At 44.0% G+C, this 13,771-nt stretch overlaps 1 protein-coding gene across 1 annotated transcript in view; it reads right to left on the bottom strand.

Annotated features, from left to right (window-relative positions):
* The window catches only part of AGBL2 (AGBL carboxypeptidase 2), a 55,779-nt gene that overhangs the window by 23,403 nt on the left and 18,605 nt on the right, over positions 1 to 13,771 (bottom strand). Inside the window, exons 9-11 of the mRNA NM_024783.4 lie at positions 9,110 to 9,263; positions 7,083 to 7,865; positions 2,900 to 3,056 (exon numbers count right to left, since the gene is read on the bottom strand). Of these exons, the coding sequence (NP_079059.2) occupies positions 2,900 to 3,056; positions 7,083 to 7,865; positions 9,110 to 9,263 (1,094 nt within the window). The remainder of the gene's footprint in view (positions 1 to 2,899; positions 3,057 to 7,082; positions 7,866 to 9,109; positions 9,264 to 13,771) is intronic.

The raw sequence follows: 13,771 nt of genomic DNA on the forward strand, positions 1-13,771 counted from the left end.
AAAGAAGGAAAGGAAAGGAAAAGAAAGAAAGAAAAAGAAGAAGAGAAGAGAAAAAAAGAAAAGAAAAAAGAGAAGAGAAGAGAAAGAGAAAGAGAGGCCGGGTATGGTGGCTCATGCCTGTAATCCCAGCACTTTGGGAGGCCGAGACGGCCCAATCACCTGAGGTCAGGAATTTGAGACCAGCCTGGCCAAGATGGCGAAACCCCGACTCTACTAAAAATACAAAAAAATTAGCCGGGCATGGCAACATGCACCTGTAATCCCAGCTACTCAGGAGGCTGAGGCAGGAGAATTACTTGAACCTGGGAGGAGGAGGTTGCAGTGAGCTGAGATCGTGCCACTGACTCCGGCTTGGGCGACAGAGCGAGACTCAAAAAACAAAAGAGAGAGAGAGGAAGGAAGGAAAGCTTCCTCCTTTTCTTTTTTTAAACAAATAAGAGTAACAATACAAAATATTTTTATCATATATCTTTATGGGAAAAAGTCTGTAATATCGGTCAGGCACAGTGGCTAACCCCTGGAATCCTAGCACTTTGGGAGGCCGAGGTGGGTGGATCATGAGGTCAGGAGATTGAGACCATCCTGGTCAACATGGTGAAACCCCGTCTCTACTAAAAATACAAAAAAATTTAGCCAAGTGTGGTAGCTTGTGCCTGTAATCCCAGCTACCCAGGAGGCTGAGGTAGGAGAATCACTTCAACTCAGGAGGTGGAGGTTACAGTGAGCTGAGACACACCACTGCACTCCAGCCTGGGAGACAGAGTGAGACTCCATCTCAAAAAAAAAAAAAATTAAAATACTTTTCTAAAGCCAGTGCAGTGGCTCACACCTGTAATCCCAGCACTTTGGGAGGCTGAGGTGGTGAGGCGGGAGAGTTGCTTGAACCCAGGAGTTCAAGACCAGCCTAGGCAACATAGTGAGACCCTGTCTCTATTAAAAAAAAAAAAAAAAAACTTAAAAAAATCCAGTCTAGGCCGTGCGTGGCGTGGTGGCTCAAGCTTGTAATCCCAACACTTTGGGAGACCAAGGCGGGCAGATCACAAGGTAAGGAGTTTGAGACCAGCCTGGCCTACATCTCTACTAAAAATACCCCATCTCTACTAAACCCCATCTCTACTAAAAATACAAAAGTAGCCAGGCATGGTGGCGCCTGCCTGTAATCTCAGCTACTCGGGAGGCTGAGGCAGGAGAATTGCTTGAACCCGGGAGGCGGAGGTTGCAGTGAGTGGAGATCGTGTTACTGCACGATCTGGGTGACAGAGCAAGACTACGTCTTGAAAAAATAAATAAAAGGACGGGTATGGTGGCTCACACCTATAATCCCAGCACTTTGGGAGGCTGAGGCGGGTGGTCAGGAGTTCAAGACCAGCCTTGCCAAGATGGTGAAACCCTGTCTCTATTAAAAATACAAAAATTAGCTGGGTGTGGTGGCGGGTGCCTGTAATCCCAGACCCTCGGGAGGCTGAGGCAGAGAATTGCTTGAACCTGGGAGATGGAGGTTGCAGTGAGCCGAGATCGCGCCACTGCACTCCATCCTGGGCGACAGAACAAGACTCTGTCTCAAAAAAAAAAAATAAGGAGAAGAAAAAAAAATAAGTAAAATAAATAAATAAATAAATAAAAATCCAATCTACTTTCTTCTTCTGAAAGCTACATTTTGTGGATCTATTTATGATGTGAAAAACCAGCTTCTACACCAATGAAGATTACCTGTATATGCCTGTCACAAAATTAGTCAATTATTAAAAACTTTTATATTGTTTTCATTAAGCTCTTTAATATCTTACAATTATTTGTGATCTTCTAGTATATAACCTTTCCTATGAAGACTCATGACATTAGCATTTTGCTTGTCCTTCAATCTCTTCTTCCAGGGTCAACCACCACAGGATAGGTGATAGATAACTGTATATGCAAGAATTTCAACTTATGGAGGGGCGCAGTAGCTCACGCCTGTAATCTCAGCACTTTGGGAGGCCGGGGCAGGCGGATCACTTGAGGTCAGGAGTTTGAGAACAGCTTAGCCAACGTGGTGAAACCCCGTCTCCACTAAAAGTACAAAAAAATTTAGCCAGGCATGGTTGTGCATGCCTGTACTCTCAACTACTCAGGAAACTGAGGCAGGAGAATTGCTTGAATCTGGGAGGCAGAGGTTGCAGTGAGCCAAGATTGCACCACTACACTCCAGCCTCGACAGAGCGAGACTCCGTCTCAAAAAAAAAAATAAAAAAGGATACCACATTTTATTTATCTGTTGATTGGTTGATGGACACAGCAATTCTTTTTTATTCTATTGTTTAGTAGTGGCAGGGGTCTCCCTATGTTGCCCAGGCTGGTCTTGAACTCCTGGGCTCAAGCAATATGCCCACCTCGGCCTCCCAAAGTGCTAGGATTACAGGCATGAGCCACTGTAGCTGGCAGGACACAGCAATTCTTTTTTTTTTTGAGATGGAGTTCTGCTCTTGTTGCCCAGGCTGGAGTGCAATGGCACGATCTCTGCTCACTGCAACCTCTGCTTCCCAAGTTTAAGCGATTCTCCTGCCTCAGCCTCCCAAGTAACTGGCATTACAGGCATGTGCCACCATGCCTGGCTACTTTTTGTATTTTTAATAGAGATGGGGTTTCTCCGTGTTGGTCAGGCTGGTCTCGAACTCCTGACCTCAGGTAATCTGCTTGCCTTGGCCCCCCAAAGTGCTGGGATTACAGGTGTGAGCCACTGTGCCTGGCCCCACAGCAATTCTTAAAACCACGCTTTTCTAAATTCTTGAAGTCTAGGTTGCTCGGATTTACCAAAGATAATAAAAAGAGATACAAAATGCCAAATAAAACACTACATATAGGAAGCAGTGAGTTCCCATGTCCCTAACTCAATGGAGAGAAAATTACATTATGTGCTTACCTTATCTGGTGCATTTTTGCATAACATTAAAGGAAAGACTCGTTCATGAAGCCAGTATTTGCGATTGTTGTTATTACAGCCATACAGGAAGATATTATTCTTACGACTGTGGCCATGGAAATCACAATACAACAGAACCTCTCTTTCTTCAAGAAGTCTATTGAGGGGGCAAACAAAGGACTCAGTGGACACCCAAATGCATACAAATAATTAAGGATCATTTGGTATCTCTTCCTTAAATACAGCTGTTAATACTTTCCCTCCTAAGAAAATCTCAACTCCATTGGCCTTCAATGGACCCTATCTCCATTCTCAGCCACTGCAGAAAACATGTCATCAGCTTGCCTTGCCAGTCAGAAGGACTTGAAATGGAAAATTTCTTTTTTTCTTTTTTGAGACAGGGTCTTGCCCTGTTGCTCAGGCTGGAGTGTAGTGGCCTGACCATGGCTCACTGTAGCCTTGACCTCCTGGGCTCAAGTCATCCGCCCACCTCAGCCTCCTAAGTAGTTGGGACTACAGGCACACACCAATACACCCAGCTATTTTTGTTTCTGGTTTTTTTTTTTTTTTTTTTTTTGTAGAGGCAGGGTGATAGAGTTTGGGTATTTGTCTCTGCCCAAATCTCAGGTTGAGATATAATCCCTAGTGTTGGAGGTGGCGTCTAGCGAGAGGTATTTGGATAGTGGGGGTGGATCCCTCATGAGTGGCTTGGGCCATCCCCTGGTGATACATGAGCTCTCACTCTGACTTTGCACAAGATCTGGTTGTTTAAAAATGTGTGACACTGGCCGGGCACGGTGGCTCATGCCTATAATCCCAGCACTTTGGTAGGCTGAGGTGGGTGGATCACCTGAGGTTAGGAGTTCGAGACCAGCCTGACCAACCTGGTGAACCCCATCTCTACTAAAAATACAAAATTAGCTAGGTGTTGTGGTGCATACCTGTAATGCCAGCTACTTGGCAGGCTGAGGCAGGAGAATCACTTGAACACAGGAGGTGGAGGTTGCAGTAAACCGAGATTGCGCCATTGCATTCTAGCCTGGGCATCAAGAGTGAAACTCTATCTCAAAAAAAAAAAAAAAAAAAATGGTGGGGGGAGGGGGGAGGGATAGCATTAGGAGATATACCTAATGCTAAATGATGACTTAATGGGTGCAGCACACCAGCATGGCACATGTATACATATGTAACTAAGCTGCACATTGTGCACATGTACCCTGAAACTTAAAGTATAATAATAATAAAAAAATAAATAAATAAATAATAAAAAAAAATAAAGTTTAGTTAGATCTTCCTACATGCTGTCTGCAATTCAGAAGGGTGCCTGGTGCACACAGGTAATGATACAGTAAGTTAATCCTTTAATTAATTAAATCCAGGCCCATTAACACCAGAACTGGGCTTTGACTGAACAGATAAAATATTTGACTTAATATCAACAGAGGGGACAGTATTATATGTTTTGTCCTACAAAAATATAGCTCTCTACTAAAAATGAAAAAGAACCCCACTTATACTAGAAATGATGGAAAAACATTCCCGTTATCAATTATTCATTGAAACTAAAGAATATTTAGTTTGGCTGCTAGCACAGTGCCTGGCACACAGTAAATATTCAATAAATGTATGTGAAATTGAAAAAAAAAAATGAACTCCGTCTCAAAAAAAAAAAAGTGTGGCACCTCCCCTACACTTATTCTCTCTCTCCTACTCCTGCTTTCGCCATATGATGTGCCTGCTCCCTCTTTGCCTTCTGCCATGATTGTACGCTTCCTGAGGGCTCCCTAGAAGTTGAGCAGATGCTAGCACCATGCTTCTTGTAAAGCTGCAGAACTATGAGCCAATTAAACCTCTTTTCTTTATAAATTACCCAGTCTAAGGTATTTCTTTCTTTCTTTTTTCTTTTCTTTCTTTCTTTTTTTTTTTTTTTGTTAAGACACAGTCTCACTCTGTCACCTAGGCTGGAGTGCAGTGGCGTGATCTCGGCTCACTGCAACCTCTGCCTCCCAGGTTCAAGCAATTCTAGTGCTTCAGCCTCCTGAGTAGCTGGGATTACAGGCGTGCACCACCATGCCAGGCTAATTTTTGTATTTTTAGTAGAGACGGGGTTTCACCATGTTGGCTAGGCAGGTCTCAAACTCCTGACCTCAAGTGATCTGCCTGCTTCAGCCTCCCAAAGTGCTGGGATTACAGACATGAGCCACCACGCCTGGCCAGATATTTCTTTATAGCAATGCAAATACAACCTAATACACGGGGTCTCACTGTGTTGCTCAGGCTGGTCTCCAACTCCTGGGCTCAAGTGATCCTCCTGCCTCGGCCTCTCAAAGTGCTGGGATTACAGGCATGAGTCACTGTGCCTGACCAGAAATGGAAAAGTTCTGATTTGGAAAGGGGTGGTGGGTAGCCTTGCGTAAGTTGACAAGGAAGTGCAAAAAAGCCTATTGAGAAAAAGCTCACCATGGTGCAGACCTGTGAAGAAAGAGAGGGAGGCAGAGAGTGGGCAGTTGCAGGAAAGAAAAAGAACCAAAGAAAGCCTTGATTCCTGACTTTCGAGGGCCAGTTCCTACAAGGCTCAGCTCTTCTTTGTCTCATGATCACCCAGGACACCTATTCCAGCTTTCCAAATATGTTCACTTTCCCCATGATGAGTATAATAACAACAATGCTACACATTTATAATATGCTGGGTACTATAGTAAATAGATCATGTGATTATCTCAATCCTCACAGTAACCACCCAAGGCAGGTATTATTTTTCCACTCTACAGATGAGAAAGCTGAAGCTCAGACACATTAAATCACTTAGCCAAGGTCACAGAACCAGCCAGCAGTAAAAACAGGTCTCAAACTCAGGCCTGTCTGACTCTGAAACATATGCTCTTTAGCTATGCCTGCCATGGTGCCATCTCAGCTCATTGCAACCTCTGCCTCCCAGGTTCAAGTGATTCTCCTGACTCGGCCTCCTGAGTAGCTGGGATTACAGGCACCCACCATCATGCCCGGCTAATTTTTCTATTTTTAGTAGAGACGAGGTTTCACCATGTTGGCCAGGCTGGTCTCAAACTCCTGACCTCAGGTGATCTGCCTGCCTCAGCCTCCCAAAGTGCTGGGATTACAGGTGTCAGCCACTGAGCCCAGCCCACATATTCTTATATGCTGTATTTTCATTTCCAATGGCATGAAAATTCCTTTAAGGTGGGTGCTATTACATTATAGCCTTCAATGCTTTTATACAGGCTTGAAAACTGCTGACTGATGTTATGATTCTTTCTTTGTGATAGGCAATATAAGATCGTAAAAGGAATTTAGACTCTGGAACCAGAGAGAGAGCCTGTATTTAAATATCTACTTTGTCACTTAATAGCTTTATGACCTTAGGCAAGTTACTTAACCTACCCACTTCTCAATTTTTTTTTTTTTTTTTTTTGAGATGGAGTCTCACTCTGCCACCCAGGCTAGAGTGCAGTGGCACGCTCTTGGCTCACTGCAATCTCTACCTCTTTGGTTCAAGCGATTCTCCTGCCTCAGCCTCTTCAGTAGCTGGGATTACAGGCACCCACCAGCACGCCTGGCTAATTTTTGTATCTTTAGCAGAGACTGGGTTTCGCCATGTTGGCCAGGTTGGTCTTGAACTCCTGACCCCAGGTAATCCGCCCACTTCAGCCTCCCAAAGTGCTGGGATTACAGCCGTGAGCCACCACGCCTGGCCTAGGTTCTCAATTTCTGTATCATACAACATGCGATATTGACTGTGCCTACCTCATAATGTTAATGTGAAGATTAAATGAGTCATGTGTGTAATGCACCTACCATACAGCTTGCCACTTCATGCATACACATTTACTAATTGTTAGCTACTATTATTATGATACAAGTCTCATCATGAAGACCTATGAACTCCCCTGAACTCTGACCTTTTCCATTCAATTATTTCACTTACAAGTGAAATGACTCTTGCTGAAATGTTGCATGTCCAGTTTCAACCCAAAGACAAGACATGATTTAAAAGTCTGAAAATTAACAAAGTCACTTGACTACAAAGAGACTGGTAAGGGCTCTGTCTCCAAAGTCATACTCAATTCCTTTAACAACAGAAGAGACCTCATACCCCATCAGGTAGGGATATCTGGTGCTAGGACTCATAGCAGTCACAGAAAGATCAACAGATAAAAAGTCTCACCTTTTGATCATGTTCCTGGTGTACCAAATACAAGGGAAAGACTCCTTCAGAATGGTTTTATAATGCCTGTTCAAATCCCTTCCGGCCAAGGAACACCGATAATTCCCCACAATCACACCATCTGGATTTAACATGGGAAGCACCTTGAAGACAAAAATATCTCTGAGGAGCTGGGCATCTGGGGAGTTGCTAAGGATGAAGTCCAAAAAGCCTTTCATAACCCAGGAGCCATTACTTTCTCCAGGGTGAACTCTGGCACTCAAGACCACAGCTTTCTTTGCAGCTGCCTCTTGAGGGGTCTGGGATGGGTTGGTGATGGTGAGCAAGTAAACGGTATTTCCTGCTAGGCTCCTGCATAAAGTTTGGAGCTTGCAGAACTGAGACTGGATAGGGTTGTTTGCCACTGACAGGAGGTAGCATTGCAAATCAGTGTATGTATATGGGTAGAAGTGTGCAAAGAAGCAAGTGTCCTGGTCATATGGAAACTGAATGGTCCACGTGAGACAGTAGAAGGGCTGCTGCCCATCATCCGTGTTGTTCTTGTAGTACTTGATTTCATTTCCTTCTCTCCTCCAGCCAATATTGCGGGTGTTGGCATCCAATTGGGAGTACAAGAGTGGCTTCATCCCTACAGTATAAAGACTCTTGGGTTTTAGCAAGTTGACAATGGTGAAGCGATAGGTAGCATCTTTTCTGGTGTTCTGAACACGAAAATAAAACCACTGAGTGTGTTTGTTAGTGTAGAGGTCAGTTCGCAAGGTGAGTTCATACTCATAGGTGTCTCTGTAATGGAGAAAATAGAACAACTCTGTAAGCTTACACCCTGCCTTAAAAAACAAATTGGGAAAATGTTGTTTTCTCCTGGTAAAAACAGGTCTTATTACAACAGAAAAATCTGCTACCTTAATCATTTATTCTCTGTAATCCCAGCACTTTGGGAGGCTGAGGCGGGCTGATTACCTGAGGTCAGGAGTTCAAGACCAGCCTGGCCAACATGGTGAAACCCCATCTCTACTAAATATACAAAAAAAAAAAAAAATTAGCCAGGTGTGGTGGCGGGTGCCTGTAATCCCAGCTACTCAGGAGGCTGAAGCAAGAGAATCACTTGAACCCACGAGGTGTAGGTTGCAGTGAGCTGAGATCGTGCCATTGCTCTCCAGCCTGAGCAACAGAGCAAGACTCCATCTTGAGGAAAAAACAAACAAACAAACAAAAACAATAAGGAAGTATATCTATGGTACTGCCATAGAAAAACACCTGAAATTTATGAAGTGGAAAAAAAATTTGCCAATTTGCAAAACAATATGTACATACACCATTAATCAATTTTTATTTTAAAAATATATAAATGGCCGGGCACAGTGGCTCATGCCTGTAATCCCTGCACTTTGGGAGGCCGAGACGGGCAGATCGCGAAATCAGGAGATCGAGACCATCCTGGCTAACATGGTGAAATCCCGTCTCTACTAAAAATACAAAAAAATTAGCCAGGCATGGTGGCAGGCGCCTGTAGTCCTAGCTACTCAGGAGGCTGAGGCAGGAGAATGGCATGAACCTGGGAGGCGGAGCTTGCAGTGAGCCAAGATCATGTCACTGCACTCCAGCCTGGGCAACAGAGAGAGACTCCATCTCAAGAAAAAAAAAAAAAAAAAAAATATATATATATATATATATATATATAATTTGTGCATATTACATATACACACACAGAAAAATATTAAGGCATATACACTAAACTTAATATTTGCTGCATCTAGGAAGTATGACTATAGGACTTTTTATGTTACATATTTTTACTAATACAAATTTTAGGTGAGCTCTAATTTCTTCTATAAGCAAAGTAAACAATTTAGAAAACATTTTATTTTGGGGAAAAAATGAGTAATAATTACTCCATTTTTCTTCATACCCATAACTATTCCCCATCACCTCTTTCTTTTTTGCAAGTACTTCTGATTCCTAATATCATTACTGAAGACACCTTCTAGTCACTCCAATTATCATCCCTTTGAGAAATTGTTACTCACACTCTGACAGCTTTTTGCAGATTCCCACTCTCAAACCTTGATTCAAACAGTAGAGTATTATCTTCTGGTCCTTGCAACGTGACAGCAAGTTCCTTGACAATTCCTCGTTTGCCTCCCACTCTGGAACTGGTAAAATAGGAACCTTCTATAGGCACTGCAGAGAAAAGATATATTTAGGCTAGGTTCTACTCAGAATCCACTCATTCAGCAAATACTTAAGTGGCCCCTCTAAGTGGTCAACACTATTCTAGACCAACAATGAAATTTCTAATTTTCAACTATCTTTGCAGAGACTTTTAATCTTTTTTTTTTTTTTTTTTTTTTTTTGGGACAGAGTCTCACTCTGTCACCCAGGCTGGAGTGCAGTGACACGATCTTGGCTCACTGCAAGCTCCGCCTCCCAGGTTCATGCCATTGTCCTGCCTCAGCCTCCCGAGTAGCTGGGACTACAGGCGCCCACCACCACGCCTGGCTAATTTTTTTGTATATTTAGTAGAGACGGAGTTTCACCGTGTTAGCCAGGATGGTCTCGATCTCCTGACCTTGTGATCTGCCCGTCTCAGCCTCCCAAAGTGCTGGGATTACAGGTGTGAGCCACCACGCCTGGCCATCCAACATCAATTTTTTTTTAAATGAATTATGCTTTTGGTGTCATATCTAGAATCCACTGCCACATCCAAGGTCATGAAGATTTATCCCTATGTTTTGATTTATCCCTATGTTTTCTTTGTTTGAGACAGGGTCTCACTCTATCACCCAGGCTGGAATGCAGCAGCGTGAATCACAGTTCACTGCAGCCTCTACCTTTTGTGCTCAAGTGATCCTCCCACCTCAACTTCCTGAGTAGCTGGGACCACAGGAGTGCACCACCACACCCAACTAATTGTTTAATTTTTTTGTAGAGATGAGGTCCCACTATGTCACCCAGGCTATTCTTGAACTCCAGGGCCCAAGCGATCCTCCTTCTTCAGCCTCCCAAAGTGCTGAGTTTACAGACATGAGCCATTGCATCCTGCAGATACCTGTTTCTTTCTTTCTTCCCTCCCTGCCTCCCTCCCTCCCTTCCTTCCTTCCTTTTTTTGACAGGGTCTTGCTCTGTCACCCAGGCTGGAGCAGTTGCACAATCATATCTCATGGCAGCCTCAAACATCTGAGTTCAAGTGAACCTCCTGCCTCAGCCTCCTGAGTAGCCTGGACTACAGGCGTGCACCACCCTGCCCGGCTCATTTGTTTTAAGATTTTTATAGTTTCAGTACTTATCTTTAGGCCACTGATCCATTTTGGGTTAATTTTTAAATATGGTATGAAGTAGGGATTCAACTTCATTCTTTTGAGTGTGGCTATACAGTTATCCCAACACCATTTGTTATAGAGGCCATTCTTTCTCCACTGAACAGTCTTGGCACCCTTGTCAAAAATGAATTGACCAAAAATATGAGTTTATTTTTGGACTCTCAGTTCTGTTTTAGTGACCTATATGCCTACCCTGTGTTAGGATTATACTGTTTTGATTACTGTATGTTCGTAGTGTTTTGAAATCAAGAAATGTGAATCTTCGAATTTTGTACTTCTTTTTTTGTATTGGCTATTCAGGGCCCTTTACAATTCCATATAAATTTGAGGAACATCTTTTCGTTCTGCATAAAAGCCCTTTGAAGTTTCCAGATTCTAGAGGGAAAGTTTTCAGTCTTTCCCCACTGAATATGTTATTCTTGTCATGTGTAGGTCACCAGGTGTCTTCTCCGTTCCATTATATCAGTGGTCAGCCAGTGACCAGACAGAGATTTCTTCAATAACCAGGGCTTGGCTAGGTGTAGTGGCTCATGCCTGTAATCCCAGCACTTTGGGAGGCTGAAGTGAGAGGATTGCTTGGGCTCAGAAGTTTGAGACCAGCCTGGGCAACATGGCAAAATGTCGTGTGATATACTCTGTACAAAAAATACAAAAGTTAGCTGGGTGGTGGTGTGCACCTGTAGTCCCAGCTACTCGGGATGCTGAGGCGGCAGGATTGCTTCAGCTGAGAGGTCGAGGCTGCAGTGATTTGTGATTTTTCCACTGCACTCCAGCTTGGGTGACAAAGTGAGATCCTATCATTCATTCATTCATTCATTCACTCACTCCCAAGCCAAAAAAAAAAAAAGCACAAAACTTTCCTAGTCTGGGCAGACTGGCTTTGAGGTGAGGCACTCCTCAACACTAAGTCAGGCTGCCAAAAACTCGATGTTAGCCTTCCTCTTTAGTTGCACAGAGCCCAACCACCAACCAGAGATGCAAGCCTAGGATCCTCTCAGGTTTTTTCTGAATGTGGGTCCAGCCCTAGCCATGTATACTGCGTTCTCCAGTATATGTGGAGGCCCTTCCAAGTGCTCATTTCCCCAAGAATCTTTCTCCTCAGCTTCTTTCCCAGGCTTTTGGGCCTATCTGCTCCTTGCCTATTTGCTATCCCTTGCCCCAGGTAGCTATGAGCAGTGTATGTCTTTAAATACACTTTAAAATTTGATAGATGCAGATGGCACCTGGAAAAACTGCTTTAGCCTGAGGGAGGCAGTAACAAAAGTCAGTCTTTCCTCTGGCTCCTCAAGGAATTGTGAGAAAGGTAAAAAAGAGTCACGACCAGTTTGAGAATAAGGTCTACATTGTCCTCCTCCCCTCTTCCACTTCCAACACCAGCATTCCACATCAGGATGGCGGGCTGCTATCCTCATGACCTCTGCTAGGCAGGGGAATGGGGAATAGTAAGTGGGCAAACAAAAATGGCACAACAGGCCAGGCGTGGTGGCTCATGCCTGTAATCCCAGCACTTTGGGAGGCTGAGGCGGGTGGATCACTTGAGGTCAGGAGTTCAAGACCAGCCTGGCCAACATGGTGAAACCCAGTGTCTACCAAAAAGATAAAAAATTAGCCAGGTGTGATGGCGGGTGCCTGTAATTCCAGCTACTCAGGAGGCTGAGGCAGGAGAATTGCTTGAACCCGGGAGGCAGAGGTTGCAGTGAGCCGAGATTGCGCCACTGCACTCCAGACTGGGCAACAGACCGAGACTCCGTCTCAAAAAACAAACAAACAAAACAAAAACAAAAACGCCACAACAAAGGCTGGGCATGGTGGCTCACGCCTGTAATCCCAGCACTTTGGGAGGCTGAGGTGGGTGGATCACCTGAGGTCAGGAGTTAGAGACCAGCCTGGCTGAAATAGTGAAACCCTGTCTCTACTAAAAATGCAAAAATTAGTCAGGTGTGATGGTAGGCAACTATAATTCTAGCTACTTGGGAGGCTGAGGCAGGAGAATCGCTTGAACCTGGGAGGCAGAGATTGCGGTGAGCCGAAATCACACCACTGCACTCCAGCCTGGGCGACGAAAGTGAAACTCTGTCTCAAAAAAAAAAAAAAAAAAAACAGTTGAGGGGAATGGGACCTGTAATCCTAGCACTTTGGGAGGTTGAAGTGGGTAGATTGCTTGAGCACAGGAGTTTGAGACCAGCCTGGGCAGCGGTGAAACCCTGTCTCCACTAATAATACAAAAAATTAGCTGGGCAGGGTGGTACATGCCTGTAGCCCCAGCTACTCAGGAGGCTAAGGTTGGACAATTCACTTGAGCCTATAAGGTGGAGGATACAATGAGCCATGTTCATCCCACTGCACTCCAGCCTGGGCGACAGAGGAAGATCCTGTCTAAAAATTAAAAAAAATAGTTGGGAAACATTTTTTCCTCTTCTGTTTTCAGAGTTGGTGAAATATTGGTATTATTTCATCTTTAAATGTTTAACAGAATTCAAACAAACCAGCCAGGTGTGGTGGGTCACGCCTGTAATCTCAGCACTGTGGGAGGCGGAGGCAGGTGGATCACTTGAGGCCAGAAGTTTGAGACCAGCCTGGCCAATATGGTGAAACTCCGTCTGTACTAAAAATACAAAAAAAAAAAAAAAAAAAAAAAAAAGAAAAAAAAAAATTAGCTGGGCGTGGTGGCGCACACCTGTAATCCCAGCTACCCTGGAGGCTGAGGAACAAATCGCTTGAACCTAGAAAGTGGAGGTTGCAGTGCCATGCACTCCAGCCTGGGTGACAGAGTAAGTGAGACTCTGTCTCAAAAAAAAAAAAAAAAAAAGATTTCAAACAAACCTTGTGAAGTAGGTCATTTGAGCCTGGGTTTTGTTTGTTTGTTTGTTTGTTTTTTGTTTTTTGAGACAGAGTCTTGCTGTGTTGCCCAGGCTGGAGTGCAGTGGTGTGATCTTGCCTCACTGCAACCTCCACCTCCCTGGTTCAAGCAATTCTCCTGCCTCAGCCTCCCAAGTAGCTGGGACTACAGGTGCGCACCACCATACCAGGCTACTTTCTTTGTGTTTTTAGTAGAGAGACAGGGTTTCACGTAGGCCAGGCTGGTCTCAAACTCAAGACCTCAGCTGATCCACCTGCCTTGGCCTCCTAAAGTGCTGGGATTAGAGGCCTGAACTACCAGGCCCCAGGTGGGCCTGGGTTTTCTTTGTGGAAAGATTTCTAATTATTATTTCTTTGTTATAATGTATTTAAACCTTTTATTTCTTCCTTGAGTCAGTTTTTGTAACTTTCTAGCAATTCGTCCTGTTGATCTAAATTGTCTAATTTGTTGTCATAAAGTTGTTAATAGTATTACCTTGTAATTTTTTTGATTTGTACAGGTTTGGTCCT

The sequence above is a fragment of the Homo sapiens genome, chromosome 11, assembly GCF_000001405.40.
Source record: "Homo sapiens chromosome 11, GRCh38.p14 Primary Assembly".
Taxonomy (NCBI): Eukaryota; Metazoa; Chordata; class Mammalia; order Primates; family Hominidae; genus Homo; species Homo sapiens.